This window comes from Homo sapiens, chromosome 1, assembly GCF_000001405.40.
Source record: "Homo sapiens chromosome 1, GRCh38.p14 Primary Assembly".
In the NCBI taxonomy this organism is placed as follows: domain Eukaryota; kingdom Metazoa; phylum Chordata; class Mammalia; order Primates; family Hominidae; genus Homo; species Homo sapiens.
Window position 1 is genome coordinate 220095849 of NC_000001.11, and position 24593 is coordinate 220120441.

The window sequence follows — 24593 nt, forward strand, 5'->3', positions numbered from 1 at the left end:
GGTGCTGCATATCATATAAAGAGTTTAGACTTCAATCTGAGGTGTATGGGGACATTACTGAAAGATTTTAAGAGATGCGTACTTTGACACGCATTTCAGAAACCTCACCTTGTATTTCAGAGTTGAGTAGATTGGAATGGAATAGATTGGAATGTAATTGGAATGGAAATAAGCAAGTGTTGGCTGTTATTTATGGTTAGACTCAGGAGTATGTATTTATATGATGTTTAGATATCTTTTTTTTTTTTAAAACAGAAATGTGGATTTTCAGAACTTTATTCATGGCAAAGAGAAAGAAAAGTAAAGACAGAATTTTGCCTTCATGATGGACCTCCTTATGCAAACGGTGACCCTCATGTTGGACATGCTTTAAATAAGGTAACTATAATTTAGGTTATGACACTTGAAAGAAAGTGTTTATGTAAATACTCTTTATAAATGTGTATTCTAATTATATGATAATTATGTAAATTTAGATTTGCACATAAAACTAAAACATTTTCATAGAAAGCAATATACAATTTTAGTACTGCATAAAAAAAATTGCTGCTATTTGCTTTGAGCTTAACGTTATATTAGTAAACATCATCTTATTCAGTGCATAATTATCGGGCGAGGCATTGTTCTAGAATCTGGGAATAGCAGTGGACAAAAAAAAGGTATGTCTTGGCCGGGCAGTATGGCTCATGCCTGTAATCAGTGCTTGGCCCACAGATATCAATAATTCATTATTTTTAAAATGCTTAGTAGAATTTCATTGAGAGAATATGTTAATACTACAATCTGTTCACTCATTTTTCAGTTCTTTATTTTTTGTAGATTTCAGTGGAAATTTTGGGGAGGAAGTGGGCTTAGGCATCTGTAGTTTCAAAACCAGGAATTTGGTCACTGAATGGGTCAATAGTGCTATTAAAGAGACCAGGCGCAGTGGCTCACGCCTGTAATCCCAGCCCTTTGGGAGGCCGAGGCAAGCGGATCACGAGGTCAGGAGATCGAGACCATCCTGGCTAACACGGTGAAACCCCGTCTCTACTAAAAATACAAAAAATTAGCCACGCATGGTGGCGGGAGCCTATAGTCCCAGCTACTCGGGAGGCTGAGGCAGGAGAATGCCGTGAACCCGGGAGGCGGAGCTTGCAGTGAGCCGAGATCGCGCCACTGCACTCCAGCCTGGGCAACAGAGCAAGATTCCGTCTCAAAAAAAAAAAAAAATCATGTTTTGTGATATAAATACAGAATAAAACTCTATTATTTCAAACCCTTTTGCAAGGAATGGAAGAGCCAACATTAACTGGATTAAGCAAAGAGAGAGAATTTACTGGCTTTTTTACTGTAGAGTCCAGATAGTTTTAGCCACCTGCATAGCTGGATCAGGAATTCACATAAAATTAAGAATTGGTTTCTGTCTCTCACTCTTTGCTACTTTAGTGACTGCCCCACCCCAGACCCCCAGCACATTTCCCAGTAGTTTCAGGCTTACATAATTCCACCTTCTCTTTCCCAACAGTTCTTTTTTCTTTTTTTTTTTTTTTTGAGACAGAGTCTTGTACTGTCGCCCGGACTGGAGTGCAGTGGTGCAATCTTGGCTCACTGCAATCTCCGCTTCCCGGGTTCAAGCGATTCTCCTGCCTCAGCCTCCCAAGTAGATGGGACTACAGGCGCCTGCCACCACGCCCGGCTAATTTTTTGTATTTTTAGTAGAGAGGGGGTTTCACTGTGTTAGCCAGGATGGTCTCGATCTCCTGACCTCGTGATCTGCCCGCCTCTGCCTCCCAAAGTGCTGGGATTACAGGCGTGAGCCACCACGTCTGGCCCCCAATAATTCTTATAAAAGTCCTGGAATTGAATCTCATTGGCCTGATTTGGGTCGCACATCTATTTCTGAATCAGTCATTGCAGACTTGGGGATAGAATATGTTAATGGCTACAGTGGATCACGTGTTCACTCTTGGAGCTGCAGCAGAGGGAGCCAGCTCCATGTGGATTGAGGACAAAGGAATAATTCCATAAAAAACAGTGGCATCTTTTGTTGTTGTTGTTCTTTGAGACAGAGTCTCACGCTGTCACCCAGGCTGGAGTGCAGTGGCGCAGTCTCGGCTCACTGCAAGCTCCGTCTCCCGGGTTCACGCCATTCTCCTGCCTCAGTCTCCCGAGTAGCTGGGACCACAGGTGCCTGCCACCATGCCCAGCTAATTTTTTGTATTATTAGTATTATTTTTTAGTAGAGACGTGGTTTCACCATGTTAGCCAGGATGGTCTCCATCTCCTGACCTCATGATCCACCCGCCTCGGCCTCCCAAAGTGCTGGGATTACAGGCGTGAGCCACTGCACCCGGCCAAAACAGTGGCATCTTACAAAACTATCTCTCACATGAAGAGAAACCTTCTTGAAGCCCTTAGCAAAGAGCATGGGCACTTTGGAACTAGGGAAGGACCAATTCTTGCTCTTCCTCACACATGCTAATTATAGTCTTGCTTGCTTTCTCCTCTTCCTAGAATGCATCACCAGAATATTCACATGGATCACCTCCTCATTTCTTTCAGATTCTGTTCAAATGTCATCTTACCAGGCTCTCTTGACTTCCCTCTAAAATGGTACCACCCCCAGCCCCTAAATGTCATTTTCTAACCCTATAATTTGCTTTTTTCTCCATAGTGTGTGATATGTTGGTATATATTCTGTGTTCCTCCATGAGAAAAAAGACCTTGTCGTTTTTGTTTACTACTATATTCTAGGTTCCTAGAAAAATTCTTGACATACAGTAGGCATTCAGATATTTATCCCTCAAACAAAGCAATGCATGAATATTAGAAAAATGAAAGGAACAGAGATAAATGACTCTTAAAAGTATGGAGGAACTTTTTTTGGGGAGAAGGAGGGTGGTGTTTGATACTGAGGAGTTAGTAAAATATTCCTATGATATTGCTACTATTCTTTTCACTAGAGGCTTCATATATTATATTTTATTATTACATTTAAGAATCCTTATTAGGTACACTGTTAATTATTAGTTCCAGTGATTGATTTCATCCTGTTCATATGACTGAAAGCAACACTATTCAGTAGAAATACAATGCAAGCGGCTGGGCGTGGTGGGTCTGGCCTGTAATCCCAGCACTTTGGGAGGCTGAGGCGGGCAGATCATCAGGTCAGGAGTTCGAGACCAGCCTGACCAACATGGTAAAACCCCCTCTCTACTGAAAATACAAAAAAATTAGCTGGGCATGGTGGCATGTGCCTGTAATCCAGCTACTTAGGAGGCTGAGGCAGGAGAATCACTTGAACCTGGGAGGCAGAGGTTGCAGTGAGCCGAGATTGTACCACTGTTCTCCAGCTTGGGCGACAGAGCGAGACTCCGTCTCAAAAAAAAAAAAAAAAAAAAGAAATAAATATAATGCAAGCTATAAATTTGTGCCACATAGGTAAGTTAAAATTTTTCTAGTGGCCCCAGAAAATAATGAAAAGAAACAAGTGAAATTAATTTTAATATTACATTTAACTCAACATATCTAAAGTATCATTTCAACATACAGTCGATGTAAAACATTTTTGAGATATATCACATTTTCGTAAAACATGTTTGAAATCAGGTATATATTTTATAATTTACATTACATCTGAATTCGGACTAGCACCAAAAATCACATGTGGCCAGTGGCTACTATATAAGATACCATTGTTTAGAGCATATATGCATCCATGTATTCATGTATTTGATAAATATTTATAGACTAGTGCCAGAAACCATTCGAAAGGCTGGAATTCATAGGTGAAGAGGACAGATGGGCTCTCTGATTTCATGGAGTTTATGTTTTACAGGGAAGAGACAAAAAAATAAGTAAACAATTTCCAAAGAGTTAAGTAGAAAGGAGGTTATTTATATGATGATTGATTTAAATAATATACCCAGAGTAAAGTGAACCAATCTTAAGTATGTATAGCTAGATGAATTTTTTTTAATGTGACAACCACTCAGATCACAAGGCTCCTTCCTGTTCATTAGTAAACAGTTTGAAATTAGAGTTTTTAAAGGGGGGAAGGGATGGGAGGAGAATATAATAATATCTTTTCTACTTTTGATAGGCATGGAAAGGAGGAAATTGTTTTCTGGACTACTGGGCTAGTGGTCAGAGCACTGTTTCCTCTTGGGAAGAAGGAAATTGAGCTTGGAGCCAAATCTATCCTTTGCCTTTGATTCCTCCATTCAACTATAGTAATATATTTTTTAAAAGGCTCTGCTGCCCTCTGGTATCTAAAATGAATTTAAAAAGGTAAATTGGTTCTAGAACTATACCTAATGAAGAGGTCTACTGTTTTAGTAAGGGTTTGTCAATGACAGAGTTAACCACAATATTCCATTCTCTGAGTACACTGTAAGTTCTGCAATGGTTTGATGATATTTCTTAGCTCAATATAAATAATATTAGACTATTTGTGTCAATAGTTTTTTTATGAGTTAATTTATACGTTTCCTTTCAAATTGCAGTTTTAAAAATGGTATTAAGTTTAAAAAAAAGAACATAAATTGTAGGCCAAATATTTTATGTATGAATGCTAATTATCATTTTATCTTTGCAGATTTTGAAATACATGGCCAAATATTTTATGTATGAATGATAATTATCATTTTATCTTTGCAGATTTTGAAAGACATAGCCAATCGATTCCATATGATGAATGGCTCCAAAATACATTTTGTGCCCGGCTGGGATTGTCATGGGTTGCCCATTGAAATAAAAGTATTATCAGAACTTGGTAGAGAAGCTCAGAATCTTTCAGCTATGGAAATTAGAAAGAAAGGTAAATAATCTGTATTTCTGTTTTAAAATGATATTTGTAAACACTCAGGTCCTTGAAATAGTCAGAACTTTACCAAAGGAACCTTTTGTTTGGGTTTCGTTTGCTTATAATAAGATCTATTGGAAACGCCTTTCTGTCACAGAAAATTCAGATTTTATTTCATTGATTTTTGTAAGAACTTATGTTTGGATATTGAAGGAAAGACTTTGTGAGCATTTCTGATTGCATTCTCAGTTTCTTAATGTTCATATTTTAAAAAACTATTTTTTGGTAAATTCTTTTTTCTGCTTTCCTCAAGGGGGCTTGTTGACTGATTTTAGGTGTTAAGCCAAAATTCAATTCTAAAATACATATATTTTACATTAATCTTTTATTTGATCCTTTTTCTTCAGTCGACTGGGCCAAGGGAGGATTCTCTTTTTCTTATATGTTATACTATTGTACATTTGGATGTAACTGTGAAGATTTTTTTACTTCCTTGTGAAACCTATTATCATTGGCTTAGATTTGATATTCTGATTAATTTTTTGTGTATAATGAAATGAAAATTGTTATCTGACCTTTTCTTAAATTAAGAAACAATAAGGAATAATTTTTCCAGTTTATTTGTCCTAAATATGAGGTCATTGTATAAAGTCTGGAAAATACAGAAGACAGTAATAAAATTTTAACTTTTGCAATTCCAGTTAATTTTAGAATTTGTTGTAGGTATCTTCTGAACACTGTTGACCTTCAAATTATTTTTCTATTAAAAAATTTTTATAGGCTGGGCACAGTGGCTCATGCCTGTAATCCTAGCACTTTGGGAGGCTGAGGGAGGTGGATCGATCACCTAAGGTCAGGAGTTTGAGACCAGCCTGGCCAACATGGCAAAACCCCGTATCTACTAAAAATACCAAATAATTAGCCAGGTATGGTGGCTCACGCCTGTAGTCCCAGATACTTGGGAGGCTGAGGCACGAGAATTGCTTGAACCTGTGTGGCAGAGGTTACAGTGAGCTGAGATCCGCCACTGCATGCCAACCTGGGCAACAGAGCAAGACTCCATCTCAAAAAAAAAAAATTTTGTGCTCGGGCGCCGTGGCTCACGCCTGTAATCCCAGCACTTTGGGAGGCTGAGGCGGGTAGATCACGAGGTCAGGAGATCCAGACCATCCTGGCTGACACAGTGAAACCCCGTCTCTACTAAAACTACAAAAAAATTAGCCGGGCGTGGTGGCGGGCGCCTGTAGTCCCAGCTACTCAGGAGGCTGAGGCAGGAGAATGGCGTGAACCCGGGAGGCAGAGGCTTGCAGTGAGCCGAGATCATGCCACTCGCGCCACTGCACTCTAGCCTGGGTGACAGCGAGACTGTGTCTCAAAAAAAATTTGCATTCTAAACTGTCTGTAGCATTTGCATTTAGAGAGATACATGCTAAACCATGTTTAAGAATTCGAATTCATTGGTTTTTTAAAATCTTTTTTTCGTCTTTTTTTTAGCTAGATCATTTGCTAAAGCAGCCATTGAGAAACAGAAATCAGCATTTATTCGTTGGGGAATAATGGCAGATTGGAATAATTGCTACTATACATTTGATGGGAAGTATGAAGCCAAACAGTTGAGAACTTTTTACCAAATGTATGATAAGGTAAAGAAGTATTTTTTCTCTTTGAGTAGGTTTTAGTATGCGTTACAAGATTCTACTTTTAACATCATATTTTTGTCTTTTATAGGGCTTGGTTTATCGATCTTACAAACCTGTGTTTTGGTCTCCGTCATCTAGGTATATATGCATTTTTCGGTAATTAAAAGGGAGAAATTTGTGAGGCTTCCAAGTATTTATGTTTAATATTTTTAACCCTTAGGACTGCATTGGCTGAAGCAGAACTTGAATATAATCCTGAGCATGTCAGTCGTTCAATATATGTAAAATTTCCTCTCTTAAAGCCTTCTCCAAAATTGGCATCTCTTATAGGTAAGATTTATTCATAGCTTGAGTGTACCAAAGTTATAGAATTATCCCATTTGCTAACATATTTACAATTGTATTTTCACAGATGGTTCATCTCCTGTTAGTATTTTGGTCTGGACCACACAACCTTGGACGATTCCAGCCAATGAAGCTGTTTGCTATATGCCTGAATCAAAGTGGGTATATTATTGCATTTTTTGTTTTATACACAAATAGAATGTATTCCATTATTAACATTATTTTGAATTTATTTTATCCTGTTTATTATTGTAAAATTTAATGAATTATAACTTAGTTATTATGTTCATATAGATTTTATTAACCTTTAGGTGATCCTTTTTATGACCTTATCCAGCTTTTCGGGAAAATGAAATAGAAGTATAAGTTACAAAGTGTTTTGAAAATAGTACAGTTTGATCTTGAAGTCAGTTTTTTCTTTTTTCTTTTTTTTTTTGGAGACCGAGTTTTGCCTTTTGTTGCCCAGGCTGGAGTACAGTGGCATGATCTTGGCTCACCACAACCTCCACCTCCCGGGTTCAAGCAATTTTCCTGCCTCAGCCTCCCGAGTAGCTGGGATTATGGGATTACAGGCATGCGCCACCACGCCAGGCTAATTTTGTATTTTTAGTAGAGATGGGGTTTCTCTATGTTGGTGAGGCTGGTTGCAAACTCCCAACCTCAGGTGATCCACCTGCCTTGGCCTCCCAAAGTGCTGGGATTATAGACATGAGCCACCGCGCTGGCCTGAAGTCAGTTTTTTCTAAAATGATTATTTAAAAATTAAAATGATATCTGTGGCTTTTCTTGTTTCATTATTAGTAATTTCTCCTAAAATTTTATGTTAGGTATGCTGTTGTGAAATGTTCTAAGTCTGGAGACCTCTACGTACTGGCGGCAGATAAAGTAGCATCTGTTGCTTCTACTTTGGAAACAACATTTGAGACTATTTCAACACTTTCAGGTGAAGATTTTTAGATATCTGACAACATAGTCATCAAAGTATTGGGCTGACTTGAATTTACTACTTTGCTGAACTGCATATTTTGAATTGAAACAGATATGGCCTCTACCTTTCTAGAATACATTTTACATTGATTACACTAAAGGAGAATATACATTAAGCATGATAGGAGTATAGAAAAATATGAATATTGATAAATGTACAACAGGTAAAACTAATTTCTGGCAATATCCAGTAGTTACTTGGTAAAATTTTATGCAAAATTAATTTTTAAAATTGTTTTTATCTGTTTTAATAAAAGTAGCAAGAAAGGAAATGCATATACTTATTTTTCGATACATAATTTTAATAAAGGATTGAATAAGTTCTGAAAATTATTCAGAAAGCAGTTCTTCTATCAAAGGAATTTTATTTTATTTTATTTTTTAAAGAGACAGGGTCTCATGCTGTTGCCCACTGCTGGAATGCAGTGGTCCAGTCAGCTCATTGCAGCCTCAAACTCCCGGGCTCAAGCAATCCTCCTGCCCTGGCCACCCAAGTAGCTGGGACTATAGGCACATGCCACTGCACCCGGCTAATTTTGAAAAAATATTTTACAGAGATGAATTCTTGTTGTGTAGCCCAGACTGGTCTGGAATTCCTGGGCTCAAGTGATCTGCCTGCCTTGGCCTGCCAAAGTGCTGGGATTAAAGGCGTAAGCCACTGTGCCTAGCCCAAAATAATTCTTTGTGAGCTATAATTTGGGACTTTTGAGGTAGTGACTGCTTTGAAATATAATTATGGAAGTCTAGGGAAGTTTAAAATTAGCTTTTTGTTGTTGTTGTTCTTCATTTTGTTTTGAGACGTGGTCTTGCTCTGTTGCCCAGGCTGGAGTGCAGTGGTGCCATCTTGGCTCACTGCAGCCTCTGGATCCTAGGCTCAAGTGATCTTCCTGCCTCAGCCTCTTGAGTAGCTGGGACTACAAGTGTGTGCCACCATGCTGGACTAATTTTTAATTTTTTTGGTAGAGATGAGGTCTTGCTACATTGCCCAGGCTGGTCTTGAACTCCTGGCCTCAAGTGATCCTCCTGCTTTGGTCTTCCAAAGTGCTGGGATTATGGGCATGAGCCACTGTGCCTGGACTAAAATTCTATTTTATTTTATTTTATTTTTAAAGAGATGAGGTCTCACTATGTTGCCCAGGCAGATCTTGAACTCCTGAGCTCAAGTGTTCCTCCTGCCTCTGCCTCCCAAAGTGGTAGGATTATAGACGTGAGCCACCATGCCTGGGCTAAAATTATCTTTGATCCTTAGGTATGATATATCTTTTAATTTCTTGCTAAAAAATCTATCACATGAATAAAGATACAAAAACTGCCTAGAAAGACTGCCTAGCTAAATAGGAAAGCCCTCTAAATTAATCAGTTCAGATACAAGCCAATGAGAAGTTTAAACAACCTTAACAAAAATAAAAAGATTTTTATGTCAGAGGCAGGAAAGGAGCTTAAGAATTTTGAAGACCATTTGGTCCTCTTTGGTGCAATAGGGTAATAAAAATAAAAACCAAGATAATAATTTACTTCACACCCTCTCTCACTGTGTTGCCCAGGCTTGTTTCAAACTCCTGGGCTCAAGCAATCTTCCTGCCACAGCCTCCCAAAGTGCTGCAATTACAGACATGAGCTACTGCACCCAGCCCCCTGCTCTTTTATAAATGCAGAGGATATTAAAGACTTCATTGTCAAGTTATACATTATCATAGAAGCTAAAAATCACAAGATTTTTGAAAGTGTTAAGGTTGAATTTAAAGATCTTTTGTCTAGATAGCATAATTGTTTCAAATTCTTACTATCAGATAATTATTGAGTTGCTATTTGAGTCACCATATTGTGGAGGAGTATATATATTATCCCTGTCAAAATAAGCTGGTGTCACGTAGCTACTACTTATTAAAGTAGTAGGAATGTTGAAGAGCTAAAAATGAAGTAATTTGTATGGGGTAGGTTTTCTTTCCGGAAAAAAATGAATTATTTCTTATCAATTACTTAGAGATCATTTTGGGAGGGTGGTGAGGGAGAATATTAAGTGGTAGATGCAGTAAGTATCAAAACACTTAAACTACATTAACTCTGTTTATTCTCACAGAAACCCTCTGAGGTGGGAACCATAATTATCTGCATTTTATAGATTATAGAAGGTCACAGAACAAGTTAAAGGGGAAGCTGGAATTTAAGCCTAGCCAGTATTGTTCTAGATTCTGCACATTTAACCTGATACTCTATTGCTAAGCTTAAGGAGATAGATTTGCCATATAAAATGATTCTTAATAGTGGTTTTCTTTCCCCACAGGTGTAGATTTGGAAAATGGTACTTGCAGTCATCCATTAATTCCTGATAAAGCCTCTCCTCTTTTACCTGCAAATCATGTGACCATGGCAAAAGGAACGGGATTGGTTCACACAGCCCCAGCTCATGGTATGGAAGACTACGGTGTAGCGTCTCAGCACAACCTGCCCATGGTACTGTTCCTCTTTTATCATTTTTAATTATTCATCTTAATAAAAGGAAATGATAAATTCTAACCAACATCTTCATTTTTTAAAAATGATGACTTTTGTCATCATAATTGTGAAATGCTCAGGTTTGTGTAGTACTCTAAAGTTTCATTAATTCGTACTAATTGAAAAAGATTTCCCAGAATTAATAGAAAATTAGCACTTTAGAATTGAAGAATATATATCATGGGGCACTTTTAAAATACTTTTTTTCTAGTATCAAGTCACATAGACAAATTACTTTTATTCCCTGAAAAAGCCTGTTTGTTTTAGCTAAACAGTCCTTTCTACATTTACTTTACATACTTCAGTTACTTAGCAAGTATTTCCGTTTAGTTAAAAGGTGAGTCAGAAAGGGAACAACTGTGTATATAGGCATAGATTTGGAAACAATAGAGACCACTCAAAGATGTTTTAATATATTTTGTTACTTTTGTTATTAAAGTTTATGGATATGCTTCAATAACACATTTTGGCTTTGGTGATTTAAATGTATAAAATTCACAAATTCCTATTTCCTTTTCTTTTCTTTTCTTTTTTTTTTTTTTTGAGAGGGAGTCTTGCTCTGTCGCCCAGGCTGGAGTGCAGTGGTGTGGTATGATCTCGGCTCACTGCAACCTCTACCTCCAGGGTTCAAGCGATTCTCCTGCCTCAGCCTCCCGAGTAGCTGGGACTACAGGTGCACACCACCATGCCTGGCTAATTTTTGTATTTTTAGTGGAAGTGGGTTTCACCATGTTGGCCAGGCTAGTCTCAAATTCCTGACCTCAAGTGATCTGCCCACCTCGACCTCCCAAAGTGCTGGGATTATAGGCCTGAGTGCCGCGCCCGGCCAAGTACCTAGAATTTCAATGTAGAAAAAGACCAGGCTATACTGAGATGTTTTTATATATATTGTTTTGCCAGATATTGTCATAAGAGAAAATGTCTTGATATTTTAATTGTTCAAAATGATACTTTATAGGATTGTCTAGTGGACGAAGATGGAGTTTTCACAGATGTTGCAGGTCCTGAACTTCAAAACAAGGCTGTCCTTGAAGAGGGAACTGATGTGGGTGAGCATCATATCTGTTGATATCATACATGTTTTCTGAAAAGTAGGTAGCAGTAACCTTTGCTACCTATTTTCCCTCCTTATACTTTAACAGAAACAAAAAAATAAATTATGTCTTGTTTTGCCATATGTTTTAAAATGGAGTTTGGGACTTTTTCATCTTTTGCTTTGAAGCTGCTTTATTTAAGCAAGTCAGGGCAGTCAACAGGGAGTGAAGTTATTTTAGGGCTATGGAGATAATAATCAGCAGTATTACTTTTGTGGAAGGATACAATCAAGATCAGGGCTGGATGTTGACTGTAAATTACACATTCCCTACTCACTTTTTAACCCTTGTAAATAACTGACCTATATGGCATGATTTATGTATTAGAATCTTGGGAATCCTCCAGCCTTGAATTGTCTTTCTGTCTTCCTTTACAGATTCAGAGACCAAGTGCTATGAAAACCTTTCTTTGCCCACACTAAGACTAAGGCTATTTAGACCTGATATATTACTTTTCTAGGGCTACTGTAAAAAATCACCGTAAACTTGGTAGTTTGAAACAACAGAAATTTATTCTCTCAAGTGCTGGAAGCTAGAAGTCTAAATTCATCGTACTGGCAGGACCATGTTTTCCTGAAGGTTTTATGGGAGAATCCTTACTTGCCTCTTTCTAGCTTTTGGTGGCTCCTGGAAATCCTTGGCATTCCTTGGTTTATAACTGCGTTACTCCACTCTCTGCCTGTCTTGTCACATGGCCTTCTTTAGATCTTACTTGTTTTTTCGAGACAATCTCACTTTCTCACTCAGGTTGATGTGCAGTGGCATGCTTTCAGCTCACTGCCACCTCTGTGTCCTGGGTTCAAGTGATTCTTGTGCCTTAGCCTCCTGAGCAGATGGGATTACAGGCATACACCACCACACCCAGCTAATTTTTTTTTTTTTGAGACACAGTCTCACTCTGTTGCCCAGGCTGGAGTGCAGTGGTGTGATCTCAGCTCACTGCAACCTCTGCCTCCTGGGTTCAAGCAATTCTCTTGCCTCAGCCTCCCAAGTAGCTGGGATTACAGGATACACACCACTACTCCTGGCTAATTTTTGTATTTTTAGTAGAGATGGGGTTTCACCATGTTGGCCAGGCTGGTCTTGAACTCCTGACCTCAGGTGATCTGCCCACCTTAGCCTCCCAAAGTGCTGGAATTACAGGCGTGAGCCCTCACTGTGTCAGGCCATAATTTTTTTATTTTTTATTTTATTTTTATTTTTTTTTTAAGACGGAGTCTCGCTCTGTTGCCCAGGCTGGAGTACAGTGGCACGATCTTGGCTCACTGCAAGCTCTGCCTCCTGGGTTCATGGGTTCTCCTGCCTCAGTCTCTCGAGTAGCTGGGACTACAGGCGCCTGCCACCATGCCCAGCTAATTTTTTGTATTTTTAGTAGAGATGGGGTTTCACCATATTAGCCAGGACGGTCTCGATCTCCTGACCTCGTGATCCACCTGCCTTGGCCTCCCAAAATGCTGGGTTTACAGGCATGAGCCACCGCACCCGGCCTATTTTTTATTTTTAATAGAGACAGGGTTTCACCATGTTGGCCAGGCTGGTCTCAAACTCCCAGCCCCAAGTGATCCACCTGCCTAGGCCTCCCAAAGTGTTGGGATTATAGGTGTGAGCCACCGTACCCAGCCACCTTCTTTAGGTCTTAAATGTCTCTCTGTGAATCCTCTTTTTTTTTTTTTTTTTTTTTTTTTTATTGGAGGGACTGGTTCTTTATTTCAAAAAGACACTTGTCAATATTCAGTATCAAAGCAGGTGGACTATTGATTTCTGTTTCTCCCAATCGGCCCCAAAGAGACTATATCAAAGGACAGTACGTTTTAAGCCAGTATGCTGCAGGATGTACACCTGACAGACTTTACAGAAACCTTATCGGAAAGTGGGGATTGGGTAGGGAAAGAAACTTTAAAAGATCAGCAAACTGCCAGCCCGGCCAGGCACGGTGGCTCACCCCTGTAATCCCAGCGCTTTGGGAGGCTGAAGCGGACATATCACGAGGTCAGGAGTTCGAGACCTGCCTGGCCAACATGGTGAAACCCTGTGTCTACTAAAAATACAAAAAATTAGCCAGGTGTGGTGGTAGGTGCCTGTAATCCCAGCTACTCTGGAGGGTGAGGCAGGAGAATCACTTGAACCTGGGAGGCAGAGGTTGCAGTGAGCTGAGACTGCACCACTGCACTCCATCCTGGGCAACAGAGCGAGAGTCCATCTCAAAAAAAAAAAAAAAATCTGCCAGCTCACAGACTGTAGAGGGCTGTCACAGTCAAACTGGGTGGCCAGGGTGCCACCCAAAGAAGCAAAGTTTCAAAATAATACAAAAATTTAAAAAAGTTTTGTACATAAGCTATTTAAGATTTCTCTAGCATTAACTGATATTAAGCACAATGAGATGGCACTTTTAGAGACAGCAGCTTCAAACCCAGAAAAGGGTAATGAGATGAGTTTCACATGGCTGAATCAGTGGCAAAAACATAATCTTCTTTCTATCCTCCTCTAAGAACACCAGTGCTCCCTAATGCAGTGTGACCTCATCTAAACTTGATTACATCTGCAGAGGCCTGATTCCCAAGTAAGGTCACATTCACTAGTGCTGGGGGTTAGATCTTCTTGGGGACACAGTTCAACCCACTACACCTGGTTTCCTCCAGATTACCTGGAGACCATTTTAAGATTCATGGCATGAAAGATTATGGATCTAAACTTCAAATGTAGAATTCTAGATATAATCTGTTCATCTTTTCTTTGACGTGAAAAGAGGTAGAAGTGGCATAATTTGGAGTCTGATTAAGATTTTACAGTCCGTGCTTTTTTTTGCCAGGAGAATCCCAGAGCACGCCTTTGATACCTGGAAGGTGACTACTCTTTTTTATTTTATTTTTTTTTGTGAGACAGAGTCTCGCTTTGTTGCCCAGGCTGGAGTGCAGTGGCACAATCTCGGTTCACTACAGCCTCCGCTTTAGCTTAGGTTCAAATGATTCTCCCACCTCAGCCTCCCAAGTAGCTGGGATTACAGGCTCACACCACTGTGCCCTGCTAATTTTTTTGTATTTTTAATAGAGATGGGGTTTCACCATGCAGGCCAGGCTGGTCTTGAATTCCTGACCTCAAGTGATCCTCTCGTCTCTGCCTCCCAAACTGTTGGGATTACAGGCGTGAGCAACCACGCCCAGCCAAGTTGACTACTCTTTTATTTTTTGAGACGGAGTCTCGCTCTGTCACCCAGGCTGGAGTGCAGTGGCACGATCTCGGCTCACTGCAACCTCTGCCTCCCAGGTTCAAGCGATTCTCCTGCCTCAGCCTCCTGAGTAGCTGGGATTATGGGCACACACCACCATGCCCGGCTGATTTTTGCATTTTTAGTAGAGACGAGGTTTCACCATGTTGGTCAGGCTGGTCTCGAACTCCTGACCTCGTGATTTGCCTGCCTCAGCCTCGCAAAGTGCTGGGATTACAGGTGTGAGCCACTGTGGCTGGCAAGGTGACTACTCTTATTGCCACCTGTTGCTGCAGATTTAGTATTTTCTGGAAGTTTAGAGCATTTTTAGGATTTTCACAGTACTTTTTAATTATGTCTAATTTGGTGTTTTTTTTTTTAAAGTTATAAAGATGCTTCAGACTGCAAAGAATTTGTTGAAAGAGGAGAAATTGGTGCATAGCTATCCGTATGACTGGAGGACCAAGAAACCTGTGGTTATTCGTGCCAGCAAGCAGTGGTTTATAAACATCACGGATATTAAGACTGCAGCCAAGGTATAAAAAGCATCCTGTTTTAACAGGTCGGGCATATCATTCCCTCAGTATAAAGGGGCTGCATGTGAGGTTGAGGTGGGGTTTCAGGAGTAATAGGGATTGCTGCTATTATGATTTAGTTTCATAACATTGTAGAATTTTAGATCTGGAAGGACCTTGGACTTCCATTTTTTCATTATACATGTGTGAGAAATGAGGCATAAAGAGGTTGAGTGATTTGTCCACATCACACTGTTAGTAGATAGACTTTCTTGCCCAGTGTAGTCAAAGTTGCATAGAATTTGGACAGAACTGTGTTACCTAGTTTAACCTCCCACTGCCTCTGTTTCCTCATCTATATAAAGTGGTAATAATGCGTATCTCATGGAGTAAGGAAATTCGAGTTTCCAGAATATGGTCTGATACATAATAAGCAGTCAGTAAAACTTTTTTAAACCCTTTGCTTCCTTAAGATTGAAATTACAATCAATTAAAAAAGTTACTGTTCTGCTTACAAAGGAAGCATATTAAAAAGAAAAACTAACAATATGAAAAATATACAAAGTTGTTGCTTTGGAGCTAACAAATACTTATAATTGGTATTTAAATACTTAATATATATTTGAGCCCTTTCATTTAATATGTATCTTTCTATATGGGTATATATATATATATATATATATGTGTGTGTGTGTGTGTGTGTGTGTGTAAACATCTCTCACAACTTGATTCTATTTAATGAAAGAGCTTAAATATATATGTGTTAACCAGGTTGAATATATAGATATTTTGCTTTACAGTTTGAAAGATACTACTGTATTTAGCTGGTTCATTTATTGGCCTGGCAATTTGGGGTCCTTGCCAAAGCTTTTTATAGCAGTTTATACTTTCTATACTTGTGTAATGTGGACAACTATAATATATAGTGCATTTTGGTTTTTTCTTCATTTAAAGCCTCTCTTCCTTATTTGTCAATGTTAAAATTTGTAAATTGCAGCTCTGCACCGATTTTTGGTTGTAGAACATCTAAGTCTGACGCAATATATTTAAGCCAAGTTTTTTTTTTAACTTTTTTGTAAAGTTAAAAATTGTTCTTTGTAGAAGTAGTGAGAATAGGATAATGTATTGTCGTATTCCCATCACTCAGTTTCAACAATAATCAACTTTTGGTTAATTTTGTTTTTATCTACACCCCTCCGACCACCTACTTTTTTTTTTTTTTTTTTTTTGAGACGGAGTCTCGCTCTGTCGCCCAGGTCGGACTGCGGACTGCAGTGGCGCAATCTCGGCTCACTGCAAGCTCCGCTTCCCGGGTTCACGCCATTCTCCTGCCTCAGCCTCCCGAGTAGCTGGGACTACAGGCGCCCGCCACCGCGCCCGGCTAATTTTTTGTATTTTTAGTAGAGACGGGGTTTCACCTTGTTAGCCAGGATGGTCTCGATCTCCTGACCTCATGATCCACCCGCCTCGGCCTCCCAAAGTGCTGGGATTACAGGCGTGAGCCACCGCGCCCGGCCCGACCACCTACTTTTTACCCCTTAACAATTGGATTATTTTAAAGCAAATTCCAGGCACTATTTCTTCCATATTATATATTGTCCCGGCGATATTTTAGCACATATATTTGAAAGATAAGCTCTTTTTTTTTTTTTTTTTTTTTGAAACAGGGTCTTGCTCTGTCACCCAGGCTGGAGTGCAGTGGTGTGATCTCAGCTCACTGCAACCTCCACCTCCTGGACTCAACCTATCCTCCCACGTCAGCCTCCTGAGTAACTGGGACTACAGGCCTGTGCCACCACATCTGGCTAATTTTTGTATTTTTTCTAGAGATAGGGTTTTGTCAAGTTGCCCCGGTTGGTGTCGAACTCCTGAGCTCAAGCAGTCTGCCTGCTTCGGCCTCTCAGAGTGCTGTAATTACAGGTGTCAGCCAAAGATAAACTCTGTATTTATTTATTTATTTTCTTGAGATGGAGTTTCACTCTTGTTGCCCAGGCTGGAGTGCAGTGATGTGATCTTGGCTCACAGCAGCCTCCACCTCCTGGGTTCAAGCAATTCCCTGCCTAAGCCTTCTGATTAGCTGGAATTATAGGCATGCACCACCATGCCCGGCTAATTTTTTTGTATTTTTGGTAGAGACGGAGTTTCTCCATGTTGGCCAGGCTGGTCTTGAACTCCTGAGCTCGGGTGATCCGCCCTCCTCAGCCTCCCAAAGTGCTGGGATTACAGACGTGAGCCACCATGCTCGGCCAAACTCTTTAAAGCATAATTCCCATGCCATTATCACCACCTTTAAAAAGTAATAGTTATTCCTTAGCAAAATCAAATATCTATTCAATATTCACATTTCTTAGACTTTTAAACCAAGTATGGTATTAATCAAATTGATTTGTAGAGATTTTGCCATTCTGCCAATAGGTGGTGCTACAGAGAGCTTTGTGGGAGGGGACTTCTGGTAGTTACGGTGAGTGAGGAAACCATTTAAACCTTCTTTGAAAATGTAAAAATGCTTTTATTAATGGATAGAAAGATTTTTTAAAATGAAGTTAACATTTTGACCTTTTTGGAGACTATTAGTAAACATTTTTGCTATACAGTTAATCTTTTGCTAGTTGACAAATTAAATCAAATGGTAGCAGTTTTCAACCTTATTTTGGGAATGGAGGAAGGGAGCTTTCTTGAGAGGAAGTAACTGTTAGCCATTTGTCGATAGATATATATATATAGAGAGAGAGAGAGATTTATTTTAGAGACAGGCTCTTGCTCTGTCGCCCAGGTTGGAGTGCACTGCCATGCTCATAGCTCACTGCAACCTTGAACTCTTGGGCTCAAGTGATCCTCCCACCTCAGCCTACCAAAATGCTGGGATTACAGGTTTGAACCACATACTTGGGCTTATTTTGAGAAAGTGTTTTCTGTGTTGTAAACTATATTATGTAAAATTAGGTATATCGCAATCTTTTTTTGGCAGTCTACGATAGTAATTTATTTTTTAAGCATTTTAAAAAATGGTGGAAATCAAGTTTGAATTGATTTTAACTATAGTTTAGTGAAGTATAATAGTTCTATGAAAGCTTTTATTACCAGTTTTGATCTAGGGTTGGTGTAAATTAGAAATTGGTATGAAATCTTTTGTAACATTGTTAAAAAATGCAACAATGCTCCTGATATTATCACTGCTCCCGATATTATTTATTAAGTTCTTCGCGGCTCCATTTTTACTTTGCCTTATTTGCTCTGAAATCTTTTAGTTCTTTAGTTGTTTTTTTGAGGGGAGGGTAAGGGAGGTATGTGAATGGCTACAAACATCCAAAAGAAACAAATGCATTTGGAAAATTGACTGTTCTAGAATACTTGTTCTGCTTTCTCTCACAAGACTTGATTTATGAATTAATTGCAGGAATTGTTAAAAAAGGTGAAATTTATTCCTGGATCAGCACTGAATGGCATGGTTGAAATGATGGACAGGCGGCCATATTGGTGTATATCAAGGCAAAGAGTTTGGGGTGTTCCAATTCCTGTGTTTCATCATAAGACCAAGGATGAATACTTGATCAACAGGTAGAATGCTTTCTAAAATTTTTTAGTGTTTTAAAGTGAAATATTTTTTCTTCAAAAATTGAAAAATAATGTGGATGATTAAGAACCGTTTATATATGTTAAATAAAATATGCTAAAATAGTCTTTTGGGGGACTAAAATATAAGTTCAAAACAATTCTATCATACAGTTAAAATATTAACTAGATTTTCTTAAATATTGATACTTAGAAGTAAAGTCTCTGACTTTTTTTCTATGAGAATTTATTGGGCTGTATTAAGGTATCATGGATCCAAAGATGGACAGTGTTTAGCAGGGGAGCCTGAAATGTATTTTTTCTAAAGGAATGAAGAGAATCACTCTCACATTCTGAGTCTGCTTTCCTTTTCAGTGGAAATGGGATTATGTAATTGTGTAGATACTTAAAATTTAAGAAATTGTAGTTAAATGCACATGATTACACTGATGATTATATTCCCAGTTTTTCCCTTTTTTTTTTTTTGAGTTGGAAAGGTAATAGATGGACATAGTGAACAATTCATAGTAGAAAAGCTTGTACACTGAAAAGTAGGCTTTTTCCTACTCCAGGTATCCAGAACCTTTTTTTGAGGCAGTCATTGTTTACAGCTGTTTCTGAATCTTTCCAGAAAAAATGAATTCTTCTGTCAGCACATACATATGTTTATACAAAAGAGAGTATCTCTATCTTCTGCTCTGTGCCTAGATTTTTTTCACTTTATGTGTTATGATTTATTCCAAATCACTACACATAGATCAGCCTCATTCTTAAGCTTTATTAAAGCATACTTTACATACTATAAAATTCATGGCCAGGTGCGGTGGCTCACGCCTGTAATCCCAGCCCTTTGGGAGGCCGAGGCTGGTGTATCATGAGGTCAGGAGTTCAAGACCAGCCTGGCCAAGATGGTGAAACTCCATCTCTACCGAAAATACAAAAATTAGCCAGGCATGGTGGCGCGGGCCTGTAATCTCAGCTACTCCGAAGGCTCAGGCAGAGAACTGCTTGAACCTGGGAGGCAGAGGTTGCAGTGAGCCAAGATCGTGCCACTGGACTCCAGCCTGGGTGACAGAGTGAGACTCTATCTCAAAAAAATTAAAAAAGAAAAATTCATTTATTATAAGTGATTTATAGTAAATTTGTTAAGTTTTACAGCCACTATCATAATTGTGTCTTAGAATAATTCTTTTATCCCGAACAGCTCCCTTTTGTGCTTTTCGAAAGAGAAGTTGCTTGGAAATCTGTGAGCTTTGGAGAATGGCAACTGAATTTGAACCCAGGCTTTGCCATTCACTGTGTGTGAGACTGAGGAATTTACTTAGCCTCTGGCTCCTCTATAAAATAGGAAAAGCAATGGTTGCAGGTAGACTGTTATGAATACTAAATAATAAATGCAAACTACTTGGTGTAAAGCACAGTATTCCATAGATGATGAGCTATTCATGTATTCACTTAAGAAACATTGTTATGTGGGCACAGTGGCTCATGCCTGTAATCCCAGCACTTTGGGAGGCCAAGGCGGCAGGATTGCTTGAAGCCAGCTGTTCAAGATTACAGTGAGACCCCATCTCTACAGAAAAATTTAAAAATTAGCTGGTGTGGTAGTGTGGGCCTGTAGTCCCAGCGACTTGGGAGGCTAAGGCGAGAGGATCGCTCAAGTCCAGGAGTTTGAGGTTATAGTGAGCTATGATCATGCCAATGCACTCCAGCCTGGATGACAGAGCAAGACACTGTCTCTTCAGAACGAAACAAAACAGAACACATTGTCAAGCACTTAGTACGTGTCAGTGCTAGGAACTGCTAGTTGCTACAGTGAACAAGACTGACATGGCCCCTGTTTTTAATGAGATAATAGTCTAGCTAGTTTATCTTCTAGTAATATTAGGGAGGCTTTGAGTGTTGTTGCTGTTTTTCACAGATGTGGAGAGGGGAATGTTAATTCTTCCTTTTAGGAACACATTCCAGATTTTCATTTTCTTTGAGCAATTTTTTTTAATTTGGTGAATGGAATTTTTTCTAAATTATGCTATTAAGAAGTTTAAACTTTTAAGTAGACTTGAGGAGTAAGAGTATGTTTTAGGAAAAGAAAGTAGAGGCTAGAGACTGGAAAGTCATTGGAAAGCTATTTCAATATTATTATAAGTTGGATCTGAGGTAAGACTTTAGGAATAATCTAAATATTGTTGCTGTGGTGTTCTTACAGAGCTTGGTCAGATGTAAACTACTAATATCTTAATACTTACATTAAGAATTAATGTAAATTCTGTCCAGTTCAGATTATTTTATTTTATTTTTGATACAGTCTCACTCTGTCACCCAGGCTGGAGTGCAGTGATGTGATCTTGGCTCACTACAACCTCCACCTCCCAGGTTCAAGTGATTCTCCCTCCTCAGCCTCCTGAGTAGCTGGGACTACAGGCACGCGCCACTGACTTGGCTAATTCTTGTATTTTTAGTAGAGATGGGCTCTTGCCACGTTGACGAGGCTGGTCTCGAACTCCTGGCCACAAAGGATCCATCCACCTCTGCCTCCCAGAGTGCTGAGATTACAGGCATGAGCTACCATGCCCAGCCTCAGACTTAGTTTAAAAGAAAAAGAATTAAAGTGATTATACCTGAGACGAGTTTCCACAAACATTTGTTTAAAATTTCACACTGGAAAGTTTTTTTTTTTTTTGGAAAGTTTTATAAGCCATGTCATTGTCTCCTCTTCTTTTTTTTTTTTTTTTTTTTTTTTGAGATGGAGTTTCACTCTTGTTTCCTAGGCTGGAGTGTAGTGGCACGATCTCAGCTCACTGCAATCTCCGCCTCCCAGGTTCAAGTGATTCTCCTGCCTCAGCCTCCTGAGTAGTTGGGATTAGAGGCATGTGCCACCACGCCCGGCTAATTTTATATATATATATTTTTTAGTAGAGACGGGGTTTCTCCATGTTGGTCAGGCTGGTCTCAAACTCCCGACCTCAAGTGATCCGCCCGCCTCAGCCTCCCAAAGTGCTGGGATTACAGGCGTGAGCCACTGTGCCCGGCTACTCTTCTTTTCACTATTTAGAGAGCAAGATGTCTAGGGAATTTCACTGAAGTGATTGAGGTGGGTGGGGATTCCTTGGTGGAATAGCCCTCTGGACTCTGAGGTGGATCATATGTATGTATTAGTAAATATAGCAAACTGGTTTAATTGATACATCCTGATAATTAAATGGTACATAGGTTGACTGGTCAGTAAGTTAGGTTAAATAAATATGAGCTTTGTCAGAAAAACACAAGTTTTCATTAGGTATATTTATGTTTTATTTACTCAATACATTTACATGGTAGTGTTACAGATTATCTTCTGTGTACCTGCCATTGCGTTGGTTGCGTGGTGTTAGTCGATTTCTGATATTGAAGTAGCACAGTCATACAGAATATTGGCCTAAAGAAATGACAGACAAACTCAGCTATATTGTCTGTCAATTCATAGGTCATTTTCCTGTATACCATTTCTGAATGATGACTTTAATCCTCTTCCATTATTGGATCTTTTTGGTGTTACAAAACTTGAATTTAAGAAAATTGATATTAATTCTTAATCATTTGTTAATTTTATAAAACAGGCTGAAAATCTTTTTTTCTGCTGGAATCAAATGAGAGTCCAAGTGACCACAATTTTCTGTCTTTCTTTATTATACCTTTATATTGTAGCAAGTTGGTAACCATCAAAAGTAACAGCATCTCCACTGGAAATTGGTACACAGTCCACATGGAGTTGCTGTTACACTTGATAACACCATTAAACATATAAGGAGATTCCTTTTGCTCATCATGGGAGCTGTACGATATCTCTAAGTATACTTGTTTCACAGAAGAAAGTCTCGATTTATTCATGTTCTAAATAAGTTTAGGGACTGGTAGATTTGAAACGCTGATGTTTTATTTTGATTTGAATTAATAGTGTCATTTGCATTTTAGATCATATTTGTATTTTATCAAGAAATAATTCCATTTCTGACTTTACTGTCATTGGTCATTTTTTGAATCTGTGAGATAATGCCATTAGAATTTGGGTTGAAATCTGTTACTAGTCAATAAAAACAGAAGAAATAATTTTTAGCATAAAAAAGATAAAATGTAGAAACACTGGCTACCTGGGAAGGAAAAGAAGTTGGTTAAATTTCTTTCATCATTTCAAACAGTTATAATCACTTTCATGCTATTAATGCTATAGTTAACATAGTGAAACTTAGCCCCTAACTTCTGGAAATTATGAGAAATTTAGTAAAAATAGCCAAGGAATTTCCAATATAATTTGAGTGTTAACTTTAGCTACCTCAAATTTTTTCTCAGTTAACAATAATAAACCTTTTGTTCAAAAAATTTATGTTCATTAAATAAAGAAAAATTTCTTCAAAATGGTTTTCTGTCAGCTTTAAAACATAAATCTAGGATTAAACTAAAAATAGAATTTCCCCTTCCAAATTTCACATTGTTCTAGAATTAAATTTAGTAAACAAATGTGAAACATTTAGCCTCTTACCTCATTCTTCTTCCAGTAAGTTACAGAAGAAAAGTTGTCTTAATAATCTTCAATATTTTTGCTTATAAAGGCAAAACACAGAAGACAGTGGGATGACAGCAGTCGTTTCTTTGTTGCTTTAGTAATCTTAATGCTGCTTAATGTCCATAACACGCTAAATAAGCCTCATTCCGGTTGATATCGAAGTTCAGAATGATTGGCTGATGTCATAGTTGCTCATGCTACCTAGTGGATTTTCACTGATTGAAACCTAAGAAGGGACACGTAATGCATGTGTTGAGATAAGGCCTTTGAGTAAAGTACAAGGTTTTATGATGGATTTATTGCTTTATGAAGTAAAGCATTAAGATGGAAGCATATAGATTACATACTGGTAAGTGGTTTCACCCACTTTTATCAGCAGTCGTTTATACTGATCTTTGGGTTATAGGTTAACTATGAGTTTGTGTTAAGTATACAATGTTAAAGAAATGAAGGTAGAATTCTTAAATTTCAGACAAATTAGGAATTTTCCTGCATTTTTTTCTGAAGAATATTAAATATCACAAGGAAATAGTTAGAAAATTGTTTAAAAATTTTTTTAGGAAACAGAAAATTATTTAAGAAATCTTTTAAGTATTATCTTGGTTTCATTATAAAAAAATTCCACTTCTAAGTATTTACCCAAAGGAAATAGGACTAATACCTCTTGTGTGAGGATATGTATATAAGATGTCCAATACAGTTGTTTATAAAGGAACATAATGATATACAAAAGAAGATGTAATTTAATTAGTTATAGAAGAATGAATATGTACCTGTTAAAAATGTCAGCTTAGCTCTTAATGGTTGCCTAGTTCCTTGTGTATGAAAATCAAATGAACATAACTTATCCAGTGTTTGGATTTTGTTAGATGTTTGTCACATCTCTATAATGAGTGTCTTTTGAGCACTTGTTCACAGTTAACTTTATATACTTTTTTCAAATTATCTTTTTAGATTTTGTTTGAACATTAAGTTTATCTTTGTTTTTATCATCATTATACCTAGCTCAAGTTTGTGGGTTATATGTCTGTTTATTTTTATTGCAATTTTTGTTTTCAAAGCTCTCTGTCACACTTTTTTTTTTTTTTTTGAGTTGGAGTCTTGCTCTTGTTCCCCAGGCTGGAGTGCAATGGTGGGATCTTGGCTAACTGCAACCTCTGCCTCCCAGCTTCAAGCGATTCTCCTTCTTCAGCCTCCCAAGTAGCTGGGATTACAGGCTTGCGCCACTATGCCTGGCTGATTTTTGTATATTTAGTAGAGATGGGGTTTCTTCATGTAGGTCAGGCTGGTCTCGAACTCCCCACCTCAGGTGATCCGCCCGCCTCGGCCTCCCAGAGTGCTGGGATTATAGGCGTGAACCACCGCGCCCGGCCTTTTTTTTTTTTGAGATGGAGTCTCACTCTGTTGCCAGGCTGGAGTGCAGTGGTGCAATC

General features: G+C 38.5%; 1 protein-coding gene, 2 long non-coding RNA genes and 2 other non-coding genes across 5 annotated transcripts in view, besides 1 other annotated feature; 1 reads left to right on the forward strand and 4 right to left on the reverse strand.

Annotated features, from left to right (window-relative positions):
* Positions 1–24593, forward strand: part of IARS2 (isoleucyl-tRNA synthetase 2, mitochondrial) — a 53910-nt gene that overhangs the window by 1717 nt on the left and 27600 nt on the right. The window contains exons 2-12 of the mRNA NM_018060.4: positions 256–378; positions 4642–4801; positions 6281–6429; positions 6515–6564; positions 6647–6756; positions 6839–6929; positions 7599–7714; positions 10043–10212; positions 11213–11303; positions 14938–15089; positions 18466–18626. Of these exons, the coding sequence (NP_060530.3) occupies positions 256–378; positions 4642–4801; positions 6281–6429; positions 6515–6564; positions 6647–6756; positions 6839–6929; positions 7599–7714; positions 10043–10212; positions 11213–11303; positions 14938–15089; positions 18466–18626 (1373 nt within the window). The remainder of the gene's footprint in view (positions 1–255; positions 379–4641; positions 4802–6280; positions 6430–6514; positions 6565–6646; positions 6757–6838; positions 6930–7598; positions 7715–10042; positions 10213–11212; positions 11304–14937; positions 15090–18465; positions 18627–24593) is intronic.
* LOC105373475 (uncharacterized) lies at positions 15729–16744 on the reverse strand. Its single transcript, XR_922613.3, has 2 exons — positions 16593–16744; positions 15729–16272 (listed from the first exon to the last, which is right to left on the reverse strand). It is a non-coding gene; the product is annotated as an uncharacterized LOC105373475 (long non-coding RNA).
* Positions 18825–18994: an enhancer, noted in NCBI's record as "experimental_4917 CRE fragment used in MPRA reporter constructs". NCBI's record gives its function as "activates a minimal promoter by MPRAs in K562 erythroleukemia cells, with activity observed for the non-introgressed 1:220288100 variant allele {active_cell/tissue: K562}" and the evidence as "EXISTENCE:reporter gene assay evidence [ECO:0000049][PMID:34662402]".
* LOC124904515 (uncharacterized) lies at positions 21894–23265 on the reverse strand. The gene is made up of 2 exons (XR_007066883.1): positions 23137–23265; positions 21894–22035 (listed from the first exon to the last, which is right to left on the reverse strand). It is a non-coding gene; the product is annotated as an uncharacterized LOC124904515 (long non-coding RNA).
* MIR215 (microRNA 215) lies at positions 22005–22114 on the reverse strand. The gene has a single exon (NR_029628.1). It is a non-coding gene; the product is annotated as a microRNA 215 (primary transcript).
* Positions 22309–22393, reverse strand: MIR194-1 (microRNA 194-1). The gene has a single exon (NR_029711.1). It is a non-coding gene; the product is annotated as a microRNA 194-1 (primary transcript).